Raw genomic sequence first — 23,740 nt, forward strand, 5'->3', positions numbered from 1 at the left:
TGTTTGGTTTTTTGTCCTTGCGATAGTTTGCTGAGAAGTGTAAGCTCTATTAGGGTCTGGACTCATTAATAGTTATTGAATGAATTAATGAGTTTTTAAAAATAATAAAATAAGCTGAAAATAAATTTTTTATTTTCATATTCTCATAAAATCATCATTCTCAGAAATCAATTCTTTTAAAATTTATTTTCAGATTATTATTTTTAAAAACTCATTCATTCATTCAATAACTATTAATGAGTCCAGACCCTAATAGAGCTTACACTTTAATTGGGGAAATATACAATAAATATAATGAATTATTAAATTATGTAGTATTCTGGAAGGTGATAAATGCTATGAAACAATAAACATCAGGATGGAGGATAGGGAAAAATTGTGCATGTTGCTGAGGGGGAGAAGATATGCAATTTTAAATAAGGTAATCAGGATTGGCCTTATTGGGGAAAGATTTGGTGAAATGAAGAAGTTTGTCATGCCACTATCTTGGTGGCCAGCATTCTATAGAGAAGGAATAGTCAGTGTGGGTCCTGAGGTTGTAGCATGTTTAGCAAAGTTACAGAACAATAAGGAAGCTAATGTAGATGGATCCGTGAATGCTGATGAGCACAGGAAAGAATAGGTGAAAGGAGGAAAGTTAGAAAAGGCTACATCATAAAAGTGCTTCTAGGCCATTGTAAAAATTTTGGCTTTTCCTTTGAGTTAAATGGGAAGGCAGTAGAGGGTTTTGAGTAGAGGGGCAAGATGGTGTGATGCAGTTTTAAAATAATCATTCTGGTTACTTTATTAAGAATCAACTGTATAAAGGAAACAGTGTGGACACTATTGTAATAATGTTTTTGAACATTTATTTTTTTTGTTTGGCTCTGCCCTACTTATGCTTTAGCTCATTTAATTCTCATATCAGCACTTTGAAGAAATTGTTATTTTTCCCTTCTTCACTGATGAGTTAAGTGAAGCTCAGAGCAGAGAATCCCTTGCTTGAAGTCCTCTGGTAAACTGTTGGTGAAGATTGGATGTAACCCAAGTCTGTTGGTTGGACGATCCCGGTTGTCACAACTCAAAAATTCTATGCTTCATTACTCAGCTACATGCACTTTTGGCCCTCCCTTCCAATTCACCAGCTCTCTAAGCAGAATTTTTTTTATATTTTGAGAATTTTGTCCCCATAAATTTTTTTTCTGAATCAATAACAGGAAAATTAGACATTTCTATGAGGAAAAAATCAACAAGGAAGCACAATGTAGTTTTTGAGGAATGGCTGGGTGAGTGTGTTTAGAAAAGAGAGAACCCTCCATGACATATATTTTACTAGCCAATAGGAAAGTAGTAAGACTTCTTTTACTTTTAATATTAGTTTTAATGTTTTTAAAGAAAAAATAGAAATTAAATCTGTCACATTATCACATATGCAAAGGGTGTAAATACATTAAACATATTCAATATAATTACCACAACTTGAAAATACTTTATTCACTACAAACTTTATATACATTTACTTCTTATATAAACAGATTTTTCATATATATATATATATGTATGAAAACACAAAACTAATGACCTTGTACAGCCCTTCTGAACTTTATTCTCTATTCCTGCTTGGCCCTAAGGGAAATTATTCCAACCTTATTGTTCTACATGGTCCATGTCATTCTGGATTTCCTTAGCTTTTGACATATTATCAATGATAAGTAGGAAATTGTTACTGTTAGAAGTGTGAGAAATGTTTGTAAGTCTCCTGCTTTTCTATTTGATGAAATAGTTTACCAGGTACTAATCATAAATTTTTAGAGGAAATTTTGCATTTGCAAAAACTAAATTCAAATGTTGAGCTGGCCAGCATTTATTTTTCACATTTATTTTGTATTTCATAGGCTTGATACCAAGCTTCTTGGTATTCTTTATGTGCTTTGTAAGGGCGGGGTTCACTCTGAAATTGCTCAGTTCACTGTTTCTAAGACATTGGCAGGATTTGGAAAAGGACATGAATTCAGCTGCTGGGTCAGAAATGTCACCATCATGAAGTTAGAAGATGGAATAATGCAACAGTGTGCTGTACTTGGTAAAAAATAAAAAAGTGTGAGAGTGAATTCTGTAACAATTATGTCCGCTTTAATATTTTCCCATACAGGTAATTTCAATATCTTGTACTTTGTCCAGATGCAAAATAGTAAGCAATGTTTATTTTTGATTTAATGTATTTTGTTTAAAAGAGAATACTTACAATGATGTAAGCCTTTTTGATTCTTTCATATTTGTTTAAAAATATTTTGAATTTTTCTGATACTGATCTAAGTAAAAAAACCTGGGCTGTTTTAACCATCTGCCTAGTAGTCTGAGCCAGTGTTTGCCTTCAAACAATGGAAAGATTCATACTGAACTTTAGAAACAGAGGGTAGAGTAAATTTTGAAGGCAGATTCTTTCCAAGCTTAGCAAATATGAAAACACTGGGATGACTTTATTTAAAAATGAATCTCACTGAATTTGATTTTGTGCATTATTCTGTAATTCTTATTGTCAAAATGCAGACAAAAGAGTGAAAAATCTTCTCTTTTATATTTCACTCTTGTTTTATTATTGTCGTTTAAATTTTTGAACTTAAAAAATTCTGCCTATAGGTCTCAGTTTAAGGGCCATGAGTAGTGAGTGAATGATGCCAGTTTTTTTCTGGAAAGCATTGAAAAAATACTGTCTGGGTATTTCTGTCACACTAGAAGGGAGGTGCTCGGTAAGCAACACAACAATATGTATGTTCACAGAAGCCAAAGCAAACCAACAATCCAACTGACGAGGCCAGTATTTTTCCTTAGAAATAAATGTCTTAGAAAATTCTACTGAATTTCTCTAATATGTGAGGGCCAGGAGTTATATTTTTCAAATGTATGATACTTTGGTAGTGGCTGATGACATTAAATTTGAGGGCTAAACTTCATATTCATATTTTACAGCTGAATATGGTTCCATATGTCTAAAACATTAATTAATGCTAGTACCATATCATTCATAAATTTAAGAAAATAATAACTTTTTACATATTAGGCTTTTTCTTGACACTTTAACATTGTATGATAAATATATGTTTTAAGAATGAACATTCAAAAACATTATATTCAAACAATTAGATACTATATATTAAATTTGCTTATTTAAAACATGCACACAAGCTTCACAGACTTTATTGAGCATATGGCAATGCTGTAATGACCACTTATCATTTCAGTATTTGATTTTAATTCTTTGAAGTTGTTGCATTCATTAAATGATTGAATGTGTAGGCACATTTGTATGTGTGTGTGTGTGTGTGTGTGTCTCTTTGTTTATTGGTATCATCAGAAGAAATTCAGCTGGAACACATATGTTTAGCTTGTTTAGACTCCGAACTTTTTGTAACAATTGGATATTTCTGGTTTTGGCTTCAAAATAGGGAAGAGATTTGAGAAATAGACCATGATTTGCCATTGAATATTTGCTTTTATTCTGTTCTTCAAAAATATTTTGTTTTAATATCGGTGGAGGCACAACAGTAAAGTGTTTGTTAGAGAGTATTATTTTAGACAAATATCTTTAAAAATCAAACTGAAGAGTTTAAAGGAGAAGTTTGTACTACACATTCACATTCTCAAAAAGTTTCTGCTTTCTTGAGCAGGATTAACAGTATCCCTAATTCAAGGAAAGATGATCTGTAAGCACTGAGGCCTGGATGTTACTTTTTACACTTAAAAGTATTTCTTGTTATGTTATGAGTCTCAGAAATGTGCTAGTATATATCTTCTTGTAGTAAATGTGATGCTTTCTTAGGACTATTATCTCATTTCTTTCTGGTAAGACTTCTGAATAATCTAAGCAAATGAAAGAAAAGGTCTTTCTGTGGAAGGATGTGTGTTAAACTCACCCTCTTGCTCAGCTGTTATTAGTTTACATGTATCCAAACTATTGTGCAGATTCGTTTTCTAAGAGGTAATTCACTTGTCTACACCTTGCCTAGTTTACTCATATGTAACATATATTGGTATTTTTCAACCATATAGTCTTTTGTCACACTTGTGACTTTTTTTCCCTAAGGAGTTGCCTTTGAAGATATTTTCTCCTAGTCCTTATTCTATTTTCAGTGAGGGGAGAGGAAGAGAACATAAATAGTATTCTTCCTCTATTTATTGGAATGTACCTTTACTGTTTTATAATCTAGCTATTTAAAAAATCTGTGAAAAATAAAAAATGATAGGAATTTTCTTCATATTTTTAGGGTCTTAACTGACTACTTTTTAGCTTGGTATTCAAAAATAAGTAATGGTCAAAAAGTATATAATTTTTTAAAATTTCACTTTCTCAGAAAAAAAATCAAGAGAATGAAATATACATTTGCCTAATGATTTAACTAGATTTCCTTTTCAGTTAAATGCCATGGAAGAAATCTTTAAATCTTTAAATCTTTACATTCTACAAAATGAGTTTTCTTGAGCAAAGATTTTCAGTTCCTACTTCTTGAGGTTAATTTTCCATTACTCTAGTGGGAAAATGAATCATTTAACTTTTTTTCCCATTTTATATCTCTAGGCAAAAAAGCCTATTTTATACAGATTTTATACAGATTTTGTTTCCCTTCACTTACAATATTATGTTTTAAAGATTCTTTAATCTCTTGGAAAAACTATATATCATTTTAATGTCACAAATGTATATTGCAATTTGTAAATGAGATAGACTGGCGAGTTTACAAGTATTTTCCTGACATATTTTTGTTCATTGCATATAATAATTTAGAGTTTTCAAAGAATAAATTTAAAGCCCATTTTATTTTGGGTGGAGGCTAACATGTTATTAGTGTCTTTGTCACATTTATACACTACCTTTCTCAATTTGACCATAGCTGCCTAAAAATTGCTTTCTGTTTCTAGAGGGTATATAGGACAGGACTGGTAAATAGGAGAATGGGGTCCTAGACTGGCACCATGATGGTCTCACACTAATCTTTTACCTCAGGAAATGGAATTAAGAATATTCATCCACAGAGGTATAGGGTGAGCTTATGAAACTTGAAGTGGCGGAGGCAGATTTGGAATTCCTGCGAGAGCAGCCATTGAAACTTGGGTCTCTTGGCGTTGCTCTTTTCTTCCGACTGGACCTGGTGGTGTCTGCATCGTTGGGGTCAAACACGACTGTCATGGACTCCATTCTGGTCACGGTGTACATACTGCTTTGCCGGTTTGGATGAAACCTGGTGGTCTTGAGCTCTAGCTCATCATAGCTGGAAACTTTGATGAAAGGACACCAGCGAAATGCTCTCTTGAAGCCAGCTCGAAATCTGAGGAAAAGCAGGCCACAGAAAGAAAAAGTTATTTTTTCAAGCAGATATGTCTTTCAGCTGCCACAGAAAATTCTACCTAAGGCAGTTATAACAACTCAGTTTTTGAGTTTGGTTTTTAGCCAGACTCTTAGAATTTATGTCACAGTACTGTTGTTAGTCGTTTAGTTCTTGTTTGAATTGAATCTTAATTTCCCATTAATGAGAAGCATTGATTCCCAGCAATGAAAAGCATCTCATTCCCATCAGTGAGAAGTCATCAATAGCGAATGCATAGCATCAGGTAATCAATATGTTAAAGAAACAGTACATTTTTCTAAAATAATTGTATACATTTACATAAATATAATTGAATTAGGCTGGCCAGTTAAGGCACTTAAAAATGATATATTTCAAAATAGTTTCTTTCAGAAATGATTACACATTTATAAATTAAAGTCTCGTTTAATGTTAGAATTGCTAATCTTGATGATTTTTATCTAATTATATATGAAAGTGCAAAATCCTTAACTTTGTAAACCATTAAATGAAGTTAATTAAAAGTGGATGTAATGCTTGTGGGGTGTCAGGAATTGAGATATGGCTTATGCAATTAGTGAAAAAAAAAGCAAGAGTTAATTAAGTATTTAACAAACTTAAGGCACAGTGTGGTAGAACCCCAACTGAGAAGAGAGCTTAGGATTTAATTCATGCAGTTACTTACATAAAGTCCCAATTCTACTTGTGAAAAAAACACATTGGTTTATTACAGGACTTACGAGCCCTATGAAATTTAACCCTATCCCTTCATGTGCTGACCAGTACAACCAAGGTGTTTTTATCTGGAAAGCAGATTTTATCTTTTTTTTCTAGTCTTACATTTGACTACAAATATTCTCACTTTTCATTTTTTAACTTTATAAACATCTTTCCCTTGACCACTGTGATTTCTTCACAAGCCATCTCCATAGAGGCTGCATGCTCTCTTACTCACCCCACCTCACAATGCAGGAAGGAGGATTGGAGTTCCCATTGTTTTTACAAAACCTTCTACTTCAAAGTTTATTTATTTACAACATATCCTTTTTAATAAAGTCCGCTCACATATGCCATCATCTCTCCATCTTATAGAAATTATTCAAGAATTTCTAGGAAGTAACTTCATTTCATTGAGGATTTGAGCATATTTTCAATTCTCCTTTAATCATGAGGGCACTTCTTTTTCTTTGGCAGGTAAAATTCTGAGATTTTGGAGGAAGAAGTTGGCCCATAGAAGAATCATCCAGTTAGAACCCCAAGATCATTATTTGGGGCATCTAATTATTAATGTGGGATGCTTTATAAAGTGTGTATGGGGGTCTTGAAAGATAAAGCCTGTGCCTCTCTCAGTGAATTCTTAAATTTTCCCTTCCTTCTGCATTTTGAATTTGAACCAAGAAAATGGAACAACATTGTATGTTTCCAGTGAAGGTGGGTGTGACAAGCAACTTGCATTTCGTAGTTTTGTTTTTACCTTTTATTCAGACAGCAGTAGATGATGGGATTGTACATGGTTGAGCTCATTGCCAGCCAAAAGCTAGCCAGGTAGACCTGCTGGATGTATTTCCATCTATTTAGTTGTTGATAGATTGCAGTGAGAATGAAGTAAATATGATAGGGCAGCCAGCAGATAGCAAATGTCATGACAACAATAATCATCATTTTGACAACCTATAAAGAAAAAAAGTCATTTTTGACAAATATAATACTCATAATAGTTCCAATAGCTTATTGCAAATCATGCTTTTCTGCCAATACAGTTAAATACACATCATGCCTAGGGAATAGTCAATATATTAAAAAATGGTGAAGCAATATACGGACAGTTGCCTAAGGTAAGTCTCAAGAAATTATGCTATGTCACTATTCATTTCTACCTATCTAAGTGAATGGGTAGTGCTAACTCAAACACGGACAAATATATTTTGATTGGCCTGAAGAAAATCAGTGTTTACAAAAACCCAGAGAGCCTGGAACAGAGAGAGATAGGAACTAGGATGTGGCTGTGTAGCCTGCATTGTACGATAGTGGAGATATTATCTCCAGGAAATCAACTGTTAAGTCACTATGGAGGTTTACTAGGCTGCTAGGGCTGGGTTTGTTCAAGTCAGTACTCTTCTATAGCCTGACTATAGCTTAAGACTATTTAGATTTCTTTAATAGCCTGCTCACTACGTAACCTTATGAATATTAATTTGGTTTCTCTTATAATCTGATATTGGGGAAGATTTCCCCAAATAGTGATTATGTGTAAATATTCACGTTAGTGTGAGGAAAATACTAACTTGAGATTTGCAAATAGATTATTGGTTTATGCAACTGTTTTATGCATTAGCTTTTATGACTTTGGTAAGCATAAGCCATTTCCTTTGATTGTATACTTGTGAATGATAATATCCTGGACAGCTCTAATCAAAGTAGAATGTCAGCTGTTATTTCTCTTCCACTAGGCCTAAAATTCCTGAAGACAGAATGTCTTAATTATCTTTTTACTCCCAGCATCTATCACAGTCCTTGATATATAGCTGGAGATAAATATATATAGGATGAATGAATAATAAATAGCAATGTACAATGAACAATGTTCATATCTCTTTTGGGAATTTGGAAATAGTAAAAAGTTTAAAATAAGATACTTTAAGCTAAACAATTTTGAAGCTTACCTGCAGTCAGATTAAAACAAATCAGGGAAAGCTCTGATGTAAAGGGCCTATGAGGCACCTCAGAACTAGGAAGATACAGTATTTATGAAATGGACTTGTCATTTGACTGCAAATTAGGGATTCAGATGAAGGTTGGCAAGGTTTAGTCAGGAGAGACATGATTTTAGAAATAGGCAAAGCATGAAATGGATCAATGTGGAAGGTAACTCTTCCCTAAGGGCCAAATCACTGTACCATCCAGGTGGCCAGCATTGAGCAGATGGAAATTGGCCATCAGAGTTGAAAATCCAGGTCAACAGCTCACAAAATGTCATCACTGGCCACATCACATAATATCTTTTGATTTTCCCAGTGTTCTTTAAATTACATTGCTTTCTTCTGAAGAACTGCTTTTGTATTTCTGCATTTTATTTCTCAGATTTCCTATTCATAATTCATATATTTGTGAAAAACAAATGATTTAATTTACATTTATGCAATATTTTACGTATTTAACAATTAATTAATTGTCTTTCAATTGCGCATTAGGAAATTGAGGCAAAAACCCAAAGATCTGACCACTGTGATTCATGTAACTAAGATCTTTCTTGTCTTTTTACCCTCTATTTACAGATAAAAACATCTGTTGAATATCTTGAGTCTAGAAAATAACATTGAAAATATAGTGGTTGAGGACCAATTCCTCATCCTGAAGTTTACAATGTAATGAAAAAAAGGAAATGTATAATTTTAATAAAAATGCATGCATTGAAATGTGGTGAGTATGAACATGTGCAGATAAAATTTAAAATAATATTTATGAGAATGTACTAGTTTATTGTAATAAAGAATGACTCAATACATGCCTACTAACTGTAGGCTCAGAGGATATTAGACTAAATGAAATTAGTCTACTGATGTTTTCATTGTTGAATTTGTGAGCATTCTACTATTCCTTGAACAGGGTAGTTAAGCTCCAGCCATAGATTATTTTCCCTGGCTCCTCCCTCTACCTAGAACACTCTTCTAACCATGATTCCCAGGGCTTAAGTACCTCACCTCCTTCAAGCCGTTGCACAATTGTCATTTTTTCTTTGAGTGCTATTCTGACCAATTAATTTAAAATCACAGTCTGCCCTTCCAGCCCTCCCAGAACCTCTTAGCTTGCTCTTTCTCTTCAGTTTGTTATGTTTTTTCTTTATTTTGTGTCTCCTGATGCTGGACTACAAAAGAGCAAGGATTTTCTGTTTGTTTTGTTCATTTGTATATTTCGGGCACCTAGACTGGACTTCATACATAAAGGGTACTCAGAAATTTTTTAAATGAACAGGTGAAAGTGACTATAAAACAAAAGAAACTGAAAGACGCAGACAGTTAAGTAATGTCTAAGATTTTAGTCAGTTATTACTAGTATCATTTGGTTTTCATTTAAGATGGACATGTGTATGTAAAATAAGCATGGAATTTACTGCTATTTCTGCTTTCAAGGCAAACAAATTTAAAAAGAGAATGAGTCCAAAAATAACCTTTTTTTTTTTTTGAGACAGAGTCTCACTCTTGTCACCCAGGCTGGAGTGCAGTGGTGCGATCTTGGCTCACTGCAACCTCTGCCTCCCGGGTTCAAGTAATTCTTCTGCCTCAGCCTCCCAAGTAGCTGGGATTACAGGAGCGTGCCACCACGCCTGGCTAATTTTTGTATTTTTAGTAGAGACAGGGTGTTACCATAGTGGCCAGGCTTGTCTCAAACTCCTGACCTTGTAGATCCACCCACCTCGGCCTCCCAAAATTCTGGGATTACAGGTGTGAGACACTGCACCCGGCCTAATATAATTATTTTCATGGGGCACATGAAAGCATTAGATTTCATTCTAAGCAAATGTTAAGAGCAAGTAAAATATCTTTGAGAATGTTAACATATATTGTATTTGAATCTTTTATACAGACTGACTACAAACTCCCTATGCACAAAATTGTTTTCCGACAATTGCTGAAAACCTACTAAGGCTATCAGTCCTTTTAGATAAATTTCAATTTTCATAGTGCAAAAAGTTCAGAAAAACATGCAAAAATTAAAATGCATGTGGAAAATGGAACAGAGACTTCAGATAGCTTTTAACTCACATACAGAGGGCCTTTAGAACTTCTTGCGAAAGATTTATAAACATATTTTAAAAATTTTAAGAAAAGCTTAAAATACTCTACAGAAATGTTTATAAGTGAAACAGCTGCTATAATATATTTTCTGTACTTATTTCTATATAATACTGTTACCTTGGCACTCTGCTTACAAAATCTTGTAGTGTTATTTCAGATGATGAACTCTCTGGACTCTAGTTTTGATGTGAATGCAAACGTAGGCTCTTGGGTGGGAGAAATTGTCTTGCTTTGTGAAATGCTGAAATCACAAAACTGAAATCACCCTCCTGATAAAATGCCAAAGAAAAGAGCTCTTTGAAGCATGAAGCTTGAGCAATGATAGATGTGCAGGTGCTATGAGCAGTTACCACTGTATTGCATGGCTGAACAATGGTACTAGTGCAGGCAGGCTATGAACTGTTAAACAGAAAAAAGAATCAGGTGGTAAACTTTAAGAAATTCTTGAGATTTTTAGGCAAGATGACAATCTGGGACAGAGAAGGTTCAAATCTCTCATCGTGTCTTAATAATGTTATTAAGTGGGTAGCCACCCATTACCCTTGGAAACTTACAAGCAGGATAAAGGAGGAAAGTGGGGACATGTAATGTAGCCCTTACAAAGTTACATTGCCTATTTTTAGCAGTTAAGAATCTAACTACGTAGGCAGGATGGAACTGCATGTCCTCATATATTAGTGAGAATGAACTTTGGATACCATTCCTTCATGTATCAAAGGGGAAAGATCTTAGATTTTTGTATACCGTACAGATTAGAACTGAAATGCCTACAGTTGTTCTTATTCATTACATTAAATTAGTGTAGGATGGATGATTTTGAGGTTTGGGTTGTAAAAGCAAAAATTAGTTTAGGAAATTAACTAAAATGCTGACAACTATTTAGAAAACTCTAGGGGTCATATTCTTTTTTTTTTAATTTTGGCAATATTATCTTCTAATTATTTTATTTTTATTATTATACTTTAAGTTTTAGGGTACATGTGCACAATGTGCAGGTTAGTTACATATGTATACATGTGCCATGCTGGTGTGCTGCACCCACTAACTCATCATCTAGCATTAGGTATATCTCCCAATGCTATCCCTCCCCCCTCCCCCCACCCCACAACAGTCCCCAGAGTGTGATGTTCCCCTTCCTGTGTCCATATGTTCTCATTGTTCAATACCCACCTATGAGTGAGAATATGTGGTGTTTGGTTTTTTGTTCTTGTGATAGTTTACTGAGAATGATGATTTCCAATTTCATCCATGTCCCTACAAAGGACATGAACTCATCCTTTTTTATGGCTGCATAGTATTCCATGGTGTATATGTGTCACGTTTTCTTAATCCAGTCTATCATTGTTGGACATTTGGGGTGGTTCCAAGTCTTTGCTATTGTGAATAGTGCCGCAATAAACATACGTGTGCATGTGTCTTTATAGCAGCATAATTTATAATCCTTTGGGTATATACCCAGTAATGGGATGGCTGGGTCAAATGGTATTTCTAGTTCTACATCCCTGAGGAATCGCCACACTGACTTCCACAATGGTTGAACTAGTTTACAGTCCCACCAACAGTGTAAAAGTGTTCCTATTTCTCCACATCCTCTCCAGCACCTGTTGTTTCCTGACTTTTTAAAGATTGCCATTCTAACTGGTGTGAGACGATATCTCATTGTGGTTTTGGTTTGCATTTGTCTGTTGGTACAGGATTGATTCTTTCTAAATGCTTGGAATAAAAATGGTCAGCTAGGTGTGACAAAAAACAAAACAAAACAAAACTGCTTGTTTTGATTAGAATCCTTTTTTTAAAATTTTATTATTATTATACTTTAAGTTTTAGGGTACATGTGCACAATGTGCAGGTTTGTTACATATGGATACATGTCCCATGTTGGTCTGCTGCACCCATTAACTCGTCATTTACATTAGGTATATCTCCTAATGCTATCCCTCCCCCGTCCCCCTACCCCACAAGAGTCCCCAGTGTGTGATGTTCCCCTTCCTGTGTCCATGTGTTCTCATTGTTCAATTCCCACCTGTGAGTGAGAACATGCAGTTTGGTTTTTTGTCCTTGCGATAGTTTGCTGAGAATGATGGTTTCCAGCTTCATCCATGTCCCTACAAAGGACACGAACTCATCATTTTTTATGGCTGCATAGTATTCCATGGTGTATATGTGCCACATTTTCTTAATCCAGTCTATCATTGTTGGACATTTGGGTTGGTTCCAAGTCTTTGCTATTGTGAATAGTGCCGCAATAAACACATGTGTGCATGCGTCTTTATAGCAGCATAATTTATAATCCTTTGGGTATATACCCAGTAATGGGAAGGCTGGGTCAAATGGTATTTCTAGTTCTAGTTCCCTGAGGAATTGCCACACTGACTTCCACAATGGTTGAACTAGTTTACAGTCCCACCAACAGTGTAAAAGTGTTCCTATTTCTCCACATCCTCTCCAGCACCTGTTGTTTCCTGACTTTTTAAAGATTGCCATTCTAACTGGTGTGAGATGATATCTCATTGTGGTTTTGGTTTGCATTTCTCTGTTGGTACAAGATTGATTCTTTCTAAATGCTTGGAATAAAAATGGTCAGCTTGGTGTGACAAAAAACAAAACACAACAAAACTGCTTGTTTTGATTAGAATCCTTTTTTTTAAATTTTATTATTATTATACTTTAAGTTTTAGGGTACAAGTGCACAACGTGCAGGTTTGTTACATATGTATACATGTGCCATGTTGGTCTGCTGCACCCATTAACTCGTCATTTACATTAGGTACATCTCCTAATGCTATCCCTCCCCCGTCCCCCCACCCCACAAGAGTCCCCAGTGTGTGATGTTCCCCTTCCTGTGTCCATGTGTTCTCATTGTTCAATTCCCACCTGTGAGTGAGAACATGCAGTTTGGTTTTTTGTCCTTGTAATAGTTTGCTGAGAATGATGGTTTCCAGTTTCATCCATGTCCCTACAAAGGACATGAACTCATCATAATTTATGGCTGCATAGTATTCCATGGTGTATATGTGCCACATTTTCTTAATTCAGTCTATTGTTTTTGGACATTTAAGTTGGTTCCAAGTCTTTGCTATTGTGAATAGTGCCGCTATAAACATACGTGTGCATGTGTCTTTATAACAGCATGATTTATAATCCTTTGGGGATATACCCAGTAATGGGATGGCTAGGTCAAATGGTATTTCTAGTTCTAGATCCCTGAGGAATCGCCACACCGACTTCCACAGTGGTTGAACTAGTTTACAGTCCCACCAACAGTGTAAAAGTGTTCCTATTTCTCCACATCCTCTCCAGCACCTGTTGTTTCCTGACTTTTTAATGATCACCATTCTAACTGGTGTGAGATGGTATCTCATTGTGGTTTTGATTTGCATTTCTCTGATGGCCAGTGATGGTGAGCATTTTTTCATGTGTTTTTCGGCTGCATAAATGTCTTCTTTTGAGAAGTGTCTGTTCATATCCTTCGCCCACTTTTTGATGAGGTTGTTTGTTTTTTTCTTGTAAATTTGTTTGAGTTCATTTTAGATTCTGGATATTAGCCCTTTGTCAGATAAGTAGGTTGCAAAAACTTTCTCCCATTCTGTAGGTTGCCTGTTCACTCTGATGGTAGTTTCTTTTGCTGTGCAGAAGCTCTTTAGATTACTTAGATCCCATTTGTCAATTTTGGCTTTTGTTGCCATTGCTTTTGGTGTGTTAGACATGAAGTCCTTGCCCATGCCTATGTACTGAATGGTATTGCCTATGTTTTCTTCTAGGGTTTTTATGGTTTTAGGTCTAACATGTAAGTCTTTAATCCATCTTGAATTGATTTTTATATAAGGTGTAAGGAAGGGATCCAGTTTCAGCTTTCTACATATGGCTAGCCAGTTTTCCCAGCACCATTGATTAAATAGGGAATCCTTTCCCCATTTCTTGTTTTTGTCAGGTTTGTCAAAGATCAGATATTTGTAGATATGCGGCATTATTTCTGAGGGCTCTGTTCTGTTCCATTGGTCTATATATCTGTTTGTGCACCAGTACCATGCTGTTTTGGTTACTGTAGCCTTGTAGTATAGTTTGAAGTCAGGTAGCATGATGCCTCCAGCTTTGTTCTTTTGGCTTAGGACTGACTTGGTGATGCAGGCTCTTTTTTGGTTCCATATGAACTTTAAAGTAGTTTTTCCCAGTTCTGTGAAGAAAGTCATTGGTAGCTTGATGGGGATGGCATTGAATCTGTAAATTACCTTGGGCAGTATGGCCATTTTCACAATATTGATTCTTCCTACCCATGAACATGGAATGTTCTTCCATTTGTTTGTATCCTCTTTTATTTCACTGAGCAGTGGTTTGTAGTTCTCCTTGAAGAGCTCCTTCATATCCCTTGTAAGTTGGATTCCTAGGTATTTTATTTTCTTTGAAGCAATTGTGAATGGGAGTTCACTCATGATTTGGCTCTCTGTTTGTCTGTTATTGGTGTATAAGAATGCTTGTGGTTTTTGTACATTGATTTTGTATCCTGAGACTTTGCTGAAGTTGCTTATCAGCTTGAGGAGATTTTGGGCTGAGACAATGGGGTTTTCTAGATACACAATCATGTCATCTGCAAACAGAGACAATTTGACTTCCTCTTTTCCTAATTGAATACCCTTTATTCCCTTCTCCTGTCTGATTGCCCTGGCCAGAACTTCCAACACTATGTTGAATAGGAGTGGTGAGAGAGGGCATCCTTGTCTTGTGCCAGTTTTCAAAAGGAATGCTTCCAGTTTTTGCCCATTCAGTATGATATTGGCTGTGGGTTTGTCATAGATAGCTCTTATTATTTTGAGATACGTCCCATCAATACCTAATTTATTGAGATTTTTTAGCATGAAGTGCTGTTGAATTTTGTCAAAGGCCTTTTCTGCATCTATTGAGATAGTCATGTGCTTTTTGTCATTGGTTCTGTTTATATGCTGGATTAGATTTGTTGATTTGCGTATGTCGAACCAGCCTTGCATCCCAGGGATGAAGCCCCCTTGATCATGGTGGATAAACTTTTTGATGTGCTGCTGGATTCGGTTTGCCAGTATTTTATTGAGGATTTTTGCATCAATGTTCATCAAGGATATTGGTCTAAAATTCTCTTTTTTGGTTGTGTCTCTGCTGGGCTTTGGTATCAGGATGATGCTGGCCTCATAAAATGAGTTAGGGAGGATTCCCTCTTTTTCTATTGATTGGAATAGTTTCAGAAGGAATGGTATCAGCTCCTCTTTGTAACTCTGGTAGAATTCGGCTGTGAATCCATCTGGTCCTGGACTTTTTTTGGTTGGTAAGCTATTGATTATTACCTCAATTTCACAGCCTGTTATTGGTCTATTCAGAGATTCAACTTCTTCCTGGTTTAGTCTTGGGAGGGTGTATGTGTCAAGGAATTTATCCATTTCTTCTAGATTTTCTAGTTTATTTGCATAGAGGTATTTATAGTATCCTCTGATGGTAGTTTGTATTCCTGTGGGATCAGTGTTGATATCCCCTTTATCATTTTTTATTGGGTCTATTTGATTCTTCTCTCTTTTCTTCTTTATTAGTCTTGCTAGCAGTCTATCAATCAATTTTGTTGCTCTCTTCAAAAAACCAGCTCCTGGATTCATTAATCTTTTGAAGGGTTTTTTGTGTCTCTATTTCCTTCAGTTCTGCTCTGATCTTAGTTATTTCTTGCCTTCTGCTAGCTTTTGAATGTGTTTGATCTTGCTTTTCTAGTTCTTTTAATTGTGATGTTAGGGTGTCAATTTTAGATCTTTCTTGCTTTCTCTTGTGGGCATTTAGTGCTATAAATTTCCCTCTGCACACTGCTTTGAATGTGTCCCAGAGATTCTGGTATATTGTGTCTTTGTTCTCATTGGTTTCAAAGAACATCTTTATTTCTGCCTTCATTTCATTATTTACCCAGTAGTCATTCAGGAGCCGGTTGTTCATTTTCCATGTAGTTGAGCAGTTTTGAGTGAGTTTCTTAATCCTGAGTTCTAGTTTGATTGCACTGTGGTCTGAGAGACAGTTTGTTATAATTTCTGTTCTTTTACATTTGCTGAGGAGTGCTTTACTTCCAACTATGTGGTCAGTTTTGGAGTAGGTGTGGTGTGGTGCTGAAAAGAATGCATATTTTGTTGATTTGGGGTGGAGATTTCTGTAGGTGTCTATCAGGTCAGCTTTGTGCAGAGCTGAGTTCAATTCTTGGGTATCTTTGTTAACTTTCTCTCGTTGATCTGTCTAATGTTGACAGTGGGATGTTAAAGTCTCCCATTATTATTGTGTGGAGTCTAAGTCTCTTTGTTGGTCGCTAAGGACTTGCTTTATGAATCTGGGTGCTCCTGTATTGGGTGTATATATATTTAGGATAGTTAGCTCTTCTTGTTGAATTGATCCCTTTACCATTATGTAATGGCCTTTTTTTGTTTTCCATTTGCTTGGTAGATTTTCCTCCATCCCTTTATTTTGAGCCTATGTGTGTCTCTGCATGTGAGATGGGTTTCCTGAATACAGCACACTGATGGGTCTTGACGCTATCCAATTTGCCAGTCTGAGTCTTTTAATTGGAGAATTTAGCCCATTTACATTTAAAGTTAATATTATTTTGTGTGAATTTGATCCTGTCATTATGATGTTAGCTGGTTATTTTGCTCGATATTTGATGCAGTTTCTTCCTAGCCTTGATGGTCTTTGCAATTTGGCATGTTTTTGCAATGGCTGGTACTGGTTGTTCCTTTCCATGTTTAGTGCTTCCTTCAGGAGCTCTTTTAGGGCAGGCCTGGTGGTGACAAAATCTCTCAGCATTAGCTTGTCTGTAGAGGATATTATTTCTCCTTCACTTATGAAGCTTAGTTTGGCTGGATATGAAATTCTGGGATGAAAATTCTTTTCTTTAAAAATGTTGAATATTGGTCTCCACTCTCTTCTGGCTTGTAGAGTTTCTGCTGAGAGATCAGGTGTTAGTCTGATGGGCTTCCCTTTGTGGGTAACCTGACCTTTCTCTCTGGCTGCGCTTAACATTTTTTCCTTCATTTCCACTTTGGTGAATCTGACAATTATGTGTCTTTTAGTTGCTATTCTTGAGGAGTATCTTTGTGGTGTTCTCTGTATATCCTGAGTTTGAATGTTGGCCTGCTTTGCTAGATTGGGGAAGTTCTCCTAGATAGTATCCTGCAGAGTGTTTTCCAACTTGGTTCCAATCTCCCCGTCACTTTCAGGTACACCAATCAGACGTAGATTTGGTCTTTTCACATAGTCCCATATTTCTTGGAGGCTTTGTTCATTTCTTTTTATTCTTTTTTCTCTAAACTTCTCTTCTCCCTTCATTTCATTCATTTCATCTTCCATCACTGATACCCTTTCTTCCAGTTGATCGCATCGGCTACTGAGGCTTCTGCATTCGTCACGTAGCTCTCGTGCCTTGGTTTTCAGCTCCATCATGTCCTTTAAGGACTTCTCTGCATTGGTTATTCTAGTTATCCATTTGTCTAATTTTTTTTCAAAGCTTTGAACTTCTTTGCCATTGGTTTGAATTTCTCCTGTAGCTTGGAGTAGTTTGATTGTCTGAAGCCTTCTTCTCTCAACTCCTCTAAGTCATTCTCCATCCAGCTGTGTTCCGTTGCTGGTGAGGAGCTGTGTTCCTTTGGAGGAGGAGAGGTGCTCTGCTTTTTAGAGTTTCCAGTTTTTCTGCTCTTTTTTTTTTTTCCCATCTTTGTGGTTTTATCCACCTTTGATCTTTGATGATGGTGACGTACAGATGGGTTTTTGATGTGGATGTCCTTTCTGTTTGTTAGTTTTCCTTCTAACAGACAGGACCCTCAGCTGCAGGTCTGTTGGAGTTTGCCTAGAGGTCCACTGCAGACCCTGTTTGCCTGGGTATCAGCAGCAGTGGCTGCAGAACAGCGGATATTGGTGAACCGCAGATGCTGCTGTCTGATCGTTCCTGTGGAAGTTTTGTCTCAGAGGAGTACCAGGCCATGTGAGGTGTTAGTCCAGCCCTACTGGAGGGTGCCTCCCATTTAGGCTACTCGGGGGTCAGGGAGCCACTTAAGGAGGCAGTCTGCCCATTCTCAGATCTCAAGCTGCATGCTGGGAGCACCACTACTCTCTTCAAAGCTGTCAGAGAGGGACATTTAAGTCTGCAGAGGTTACTGCTGTCTTTTTGTTTGTCTGTGCCCTACACCAAGAGGTGGAGCCTACAGAGGCAGGCAGGCCTCCTTGAGCTGTGGTGGGCTCTGCCCAGTTCGAGCTTCCTGTCTGCTTTGTTTACCTAATCATACAACTAACTCAGCAATGGCAGGTGCCCCTCCCCCAGCCTCGCTGCCACCTTGCAGTTTGATCTCGGACTGCTGTGCTAGCAATGAGCAAGACTCCATGGGCGTAGGACCCTCCTAGCCATGTGCGGGATATAATCTCCTGGTGTGCCATTTTTTAAGCCCATTGGAAAAGCGAAATATTAGGGTGGGAGTGACCCGATTTTCCAGGTGCTGCCTGTCACTGCTTTCTTTGACTAGGAAAGGGAATTCCCTTACCCCTTGCACTTCCCGGGTGAGGTTATGCCTCGCCCTGCTTTGGCTCGTGCACGGTGCGCTGCACCCACTGTCTTGCACCTACTGTCTGGCACTCCCCAGTGAGATGAACCCGGTACCTCAGTTGGAAATGTAGAAATCACCCGTCTTCTGCGTTGCTCACGCTGGGCGAACTTATCCTTTTTTATGGCGGCATAGTATTCCATGGTGTATATGTGCCATATTTTCTTTATCCAGTCTATCATTGATGGGCATTTGGGTTGGTTCCAAGACTTTGCTATTGTGAACAGTGCTGCAATAAACATACGTGTGCATGTGTCTTTATAGTAGAATGATTTATAATCCTTTGGGTATATACCCAGTAATGGGATTGCTGGGTCAAATGGAATTTCTGGTTCTAGATCTTTGAGGAATTGCCACACTGTCTTCTACAAAGGTTGAACTAATTTATATTCCCACCAACAGTGTGAAAGCATTCCTATTTCTCCACATCCTCTCCAGCAACTGTTGTTTCCTGACTTTTTAATGATCACCGAACTACAAACCACTGCTCAAGGAAATAAGAGAAGACACAAACGGAAAAACATTCCATGCTCATGGATAGGAAGAATCAGTATCTTGAAAATGGCCATACTGCCCAAAGTAATTTATAGATTCAATGCTATCCCCATCAACTACCATTGACTTTCTTCACAGAATTAGAAAAAACTATTTTAAATTTCATATGGGACCAAAAAGGAGCCCATATCTCCAAGACAATCCTAAGCTAAAAGAACAAAGCCGGAGGCATCAGGCTGCTTGACTTCAAATTATACTGCAAGGCTATAGTAACCAAAACACCATGGTACTGGTACCAAAACAGATATACAAACCAATGCAACAGAACAGAGGCCTCAGAAATAACACCACACATCTACAACCATCTGATCTTTGACAAACCTGACAAAAACAATCAATGGGGAAAGGATTCCCTATTTAATAAATGGTGCTGGGAAAACTGGCTAGCCATATGCAGAAAACTGAAACTGGATCCCTTCCTTACACCTTATACAAAAATTAATTCAAGATGGATTAAAGAATTAAACATAAGACCGAAAACCATAAAAACCCTAGAAGAAAACCTAGGCAACACCATTCAGGATGTAGACATGAGAAAAGACTTCATGATTAAAACACCAAAAGCAATGGCAACAAAAGCCAAAATTGACAAATGGGATCTAAATTAAACTAAAGAGCTTCTGCACAGCAAAAGAAACTACCATGAGTGAACAGGCAACTTATAGAATGGGAGAATTTTTTTGCAATGTATCCATCTGACAAAGGGCTAATATCCAGAATCTACAAAGAATTTAAACAAATTTACAAGAAAAAAAACACCACCATCAAAAAGTGGGCAAAGGATATGAAGAGACACTTCTCAAAACAAGACAGTTATGTGGCCAACAAACATATGAAAGAAAGCTCATCATCACTGGTCATTAGAGAGATAATAATTCTTTTTTTTTTCTTTTTATTATTATACTTTAAGTTTTAGGGTACATGTGCACATTGTGCAGGTTAGTTACATATGTATACATGTGCCATGCTGGTGCACTGCACCCACTAACTCGTCATCTAGCATTAGGTATATCTCCCAATGCTATCCCTCCCCCCTCCCCCCACCCCACAACAGTCCCCAGAGTGTGATGTTCCCCTTCCTGTGTCCATGTGATCTCATTGTTCAATTCCCACCTATGAGTGAGAATATGTGGTGTTTGGCTTTTTTTTGCGATAGTTTACTGAGAATGATGATTTCCAATTTCATCCATGTCCCTACAAAGGACATGAACTCATCATTTTTTATGGCTGCATAGTATTCCATGGTGTATATGTGCCACAGTTTCTTAATCCAGTCTATCATTGTTGGACATTTGGGTTGGTTCCAAGTCTTTGCTATTGTGAATAATGCGGCAATAAACATACGTGTGCATGTGTCTTTATAGCAGCATGATTTATAGTCCTTTGGGTATATACCCAGTAATGGGATGGCTGGGTCAAATGGTATTTCTAGTTCTAGATCCCTGAGGAATTGCCACACTGACTTCCACAATGGTTGAACTAGTTTACAGTCCCACCAACAGTGTAAAACTGTTCCTATTTCTCCACATCCTCTCCAGCACCTGTTGTTTCCTGACTTTTTAATGATTGCCATTCTAACTGGTGTGAGATAGTATCTCATTGTGGTTTTGATTTGCATTTCTCTGATGGCCAGTGATGATGAACATTTTTTCATGTGTTTTTTGGCTGCATAAATGTCTTCTTTTGAGAAGTGTCTGTTCATGTCCTTCACCCACTTTTCGATGGGGTTGTTTTTTTCTTGTAAATTTGTTTGAGTTCATTGTAGATTCTGGATATTAGCCCTTTGTCAGATGAGTAGGTTGTGAAAATTTTCTCCCATTTTGTAGGTTGCCTGTTCACTCTGATGGTAGTTTCTTTTGCTGTGCAGAAGCTCTTTAGTTTAATTAGATCCCATTTGTCAATTTTGTCTTTGGTTGCCATGGCTTTTGGTGTTTTAGACATGAAGTCCTTGCCCATGCCTATGTACTGAATGGTAATGCCTAGGTTTTCTTCTAGGGTTTTTATGGTTTTAGGTCGTACGTTTAAGTCTTTAATCCATCTTGAATTAATTTTTGTATAAGGTGTAAGGAAGGGATCCAGTTTCAGCTTTCTACATATGGCTAGCCAGTTTTCCCAGCACCATTGATTAAATAGGGAATCCTTTCCCCATTTCTTGTTTTTGTCAGGTTTGTCAAAGATCAGATAGTTGTAGATATGTGGCATTATTTCTGAGGGCTCTGTTCTGTTCCATTGGTCTATATCTCTGTTTTGGTACCAGTACCATGCTGTTTTGGTTACTGTAGCCTTGTAGTATAGTTTGAAGTCAGGTAGTGTGATGCCTCCAGCTTTGTTCTTTTGGCTTAGGATTGACTTGGCGATGCGGGCTCTTTTTTGGTTCCATATGAACTTTAAAGTAGTTTTTTCCAATTCTGTGAAGAAAGTCAGTGGTAGTTGGATGGGGATGGCATTGAATCTGTAAATTACCTTGGGCAGTATGGCCATTTTCACAATATTGATTCTTCCTATCCATGAGCATGGACTGTTCTTCCATTTGTTTGTATCCTCTTTTATTTCACTGAGCAGTGGTTTGTAGTTCTCCTTGAAGAGCTCCTTCATATCCCTTGTAAGTTGGATTCCTAGGTATTTTATTTTCTTTGAAGCAATTGTGAATGGGAGTTCACTCATGATTTGGCTCTCTGTCTGTTGTTGGTGTATAAGAATGCTTGTGATTTTTGTACATTGATTTTGTATCCTGAGACTTTGCTGAAGTTGCTTATCAGCTTAAGGAGATTTTGGGCTGAGACAGTGGGGTTTTCTAGATATACAATCATGTCATCTGCAAACAGGGACAATTTGACTTCCTCTTTTCCTAATTGAATACCCTTTATTTCCTTCTCCGGCCTAATTGCCCTGTCCAGAACTTCCAACACTATGTTGAATAGGAGTGTTGAGAGAGGGCATCCCTGTCTTGTGCCAGTTTTCAAAGGGAATGCTTCCAGTTTTTGCCCATTCAGTATGATATTGGCTGTGGGTTTGTCATAGATAGCTCTTATTATTTTGAAATACATCCCATCAATACCTAATTTATTGAGAGTTTTTAGCATGAAGGGTTGTTGAATTTTGGCTTCATCCCTGGGATGCAAGGCTGGTTCAATATACGCAAATCAATAAATGTAATCCAGCATATAAACAGAGCCAAGGACAAAAACCACATGATTATCTCAAGAGATAATAATTCTTAATTAGACTTAGCAAATCATACTTATCTTTTGTAACAGATATGCGGTATTGTTAAGCATGTTTTTGTTTCTTTTAGTCCATATCATTGCCTATGCATTATTCATTTTGTGCCCCTAGAAATTAGCATAGTTTTTGAGTTTTGAATTTTGAAGGTATCTTTTGACTTTTGAAGGTATCTGATTTTCAGACTCAGTTTATGAACATTTGAATTGCAGGAAGCATTATGTATTTATTTTTATCTTACCAGTGTTTAGTGTTATTATGCTCATAATAAGAATTCAAAAATATTATTTAAAATAAATAAAACAAAAATACTTTTAAATATTTTATATTTAAATTAAAATAATCTTTATTGCTCTTAGTTTTTGTCTCTAGCAGGCTGGATGTTTGGAAAGAATAGCTATTTGAGCCATGTGATAATATAGGCTTAAGAAAGAAATACAGTTGTTTTTGTGTACTTAATCTATTGTATACTTAGATTGAACATATAGAGAATATTGACTTCAAATATACATTTTAGATGATATTTAATGCCATGGGAATGAATGAAATTACTCAGAGAATAGAGAGTGAGAAGTGGTCTAGATTAAGCCCCAAATAAGTCAGACATTTTGAAGTCAGTCAGATAGAGACAAAGGGCTGGAAAGGATATCAGGAACAAGCAGTGTTTGGCAAGAAAACTGCTATAACGTGGTCAGAAACATCACTACAGGGTTTTCCTCTCCTTTAGGAGGGATTGCCAGTCCTGTAGAATGTTGCTCAAAGTTTTAGTAAGATAAGAAATGATCGTTTCCATGGAGACTAGTGGTTGAACTGAACCAGAGTACCTGTGGTGGAATTGTGCAGTCAAAATCTAAATGGAAAGGTTTAAAGTGTGAATGAAATATTATTGGATACATACCTAAAAGAAAATAAATCATTCTATCAAAATGACACACGCACTCATATGTTCGTTACCACGCTATTCACAATAGCAAAGGCATGGGATTAACCTAGGTGCTCATCGATAATAGATTGGATAAAGAAAATGTGGTTCATATACACCATGGGAAACTACATAGCCATAAAAGTATAAAATCATGTCCTTTGCAGCAACATGGATGCAGCTGGAGGCCATAATCCTCAATGAATTAAAACCGAAATAGAAAACGAGATACCACTTGTTCTCACTTATAAGTGGAAGCTAAACATTAAGCACGCATGGACATAAAAGTAGGAACAATAGATACTGTAGACTACTAGAGGCAGGAGAAAGGGGAGCATAGGT

General features: G+C 36.7%; 1 protein-coding gene and 1 long non-coding RNA gene across 2 annotated transcripts in view; one reads left to right on the plus strand and one right to left on the minus strand.

Annotated features, from left to right (window-relative positions):
* The window catches only part of TACR3-AS1 (TACR3 antisense RNA 1), a 75,707-nt gene that overhangs the window by 35,947 nt on the left and 16,020 nt on the right, over positions 1 to 23,740 (plus strand). Inside the window, exons 3-4 of the long non-coding RNA NR_186501.1 lie at positions 6,516 to 6,752; positions 8,597 to 8,741. This is a non-coding gene — a long non-coding RNA (TACR3 antisense RNA 1). The remainder of the gene's footprint in view (positions 1 to 6,515; positions 6,753 to 8,596; positions 8,742 to 23,740) is intronic.
* TACR3 (tachykinin receptor 3) overlaps positions 1,340 to 23,740 on the minus strand; it is a 133,955-nt gene continuing 111,554 nt past the window's right edge. Inside the window, exons 4-5 of the mRNA NM_001059.3 lie at positions 6,796 to 6,992; positions 1,340 to 5,303 (exon numbers count right to left, since the gene is read on the minus strand). Of these exons, the coding sequence (NP_001050.1) occupies positions 4,991 to 5,303; positions 6,796 to 6,992 (510 nt within the window). The 3' untranslated portion in view covers positions 1,340 to 4,990. The remainder of the gene's footprint in view (positions 5,304 to 6,795; positions 6,993 to 23,740) is intronic.

The sequence above is a fragment of the Homo sapiens genome, chromosome 4 (genome assembly GCF_000001405.40).
Source record: "Homo sapiens chromosome 4, GRCh38.p14 Primary Assembly".
Classification (NCBI taxonomy): domain Eukaryota; kingdom Metazoa; phylum Chordata; class Mammalia; order Primates; family Hominidae; genus Homo; species Homo sapiens.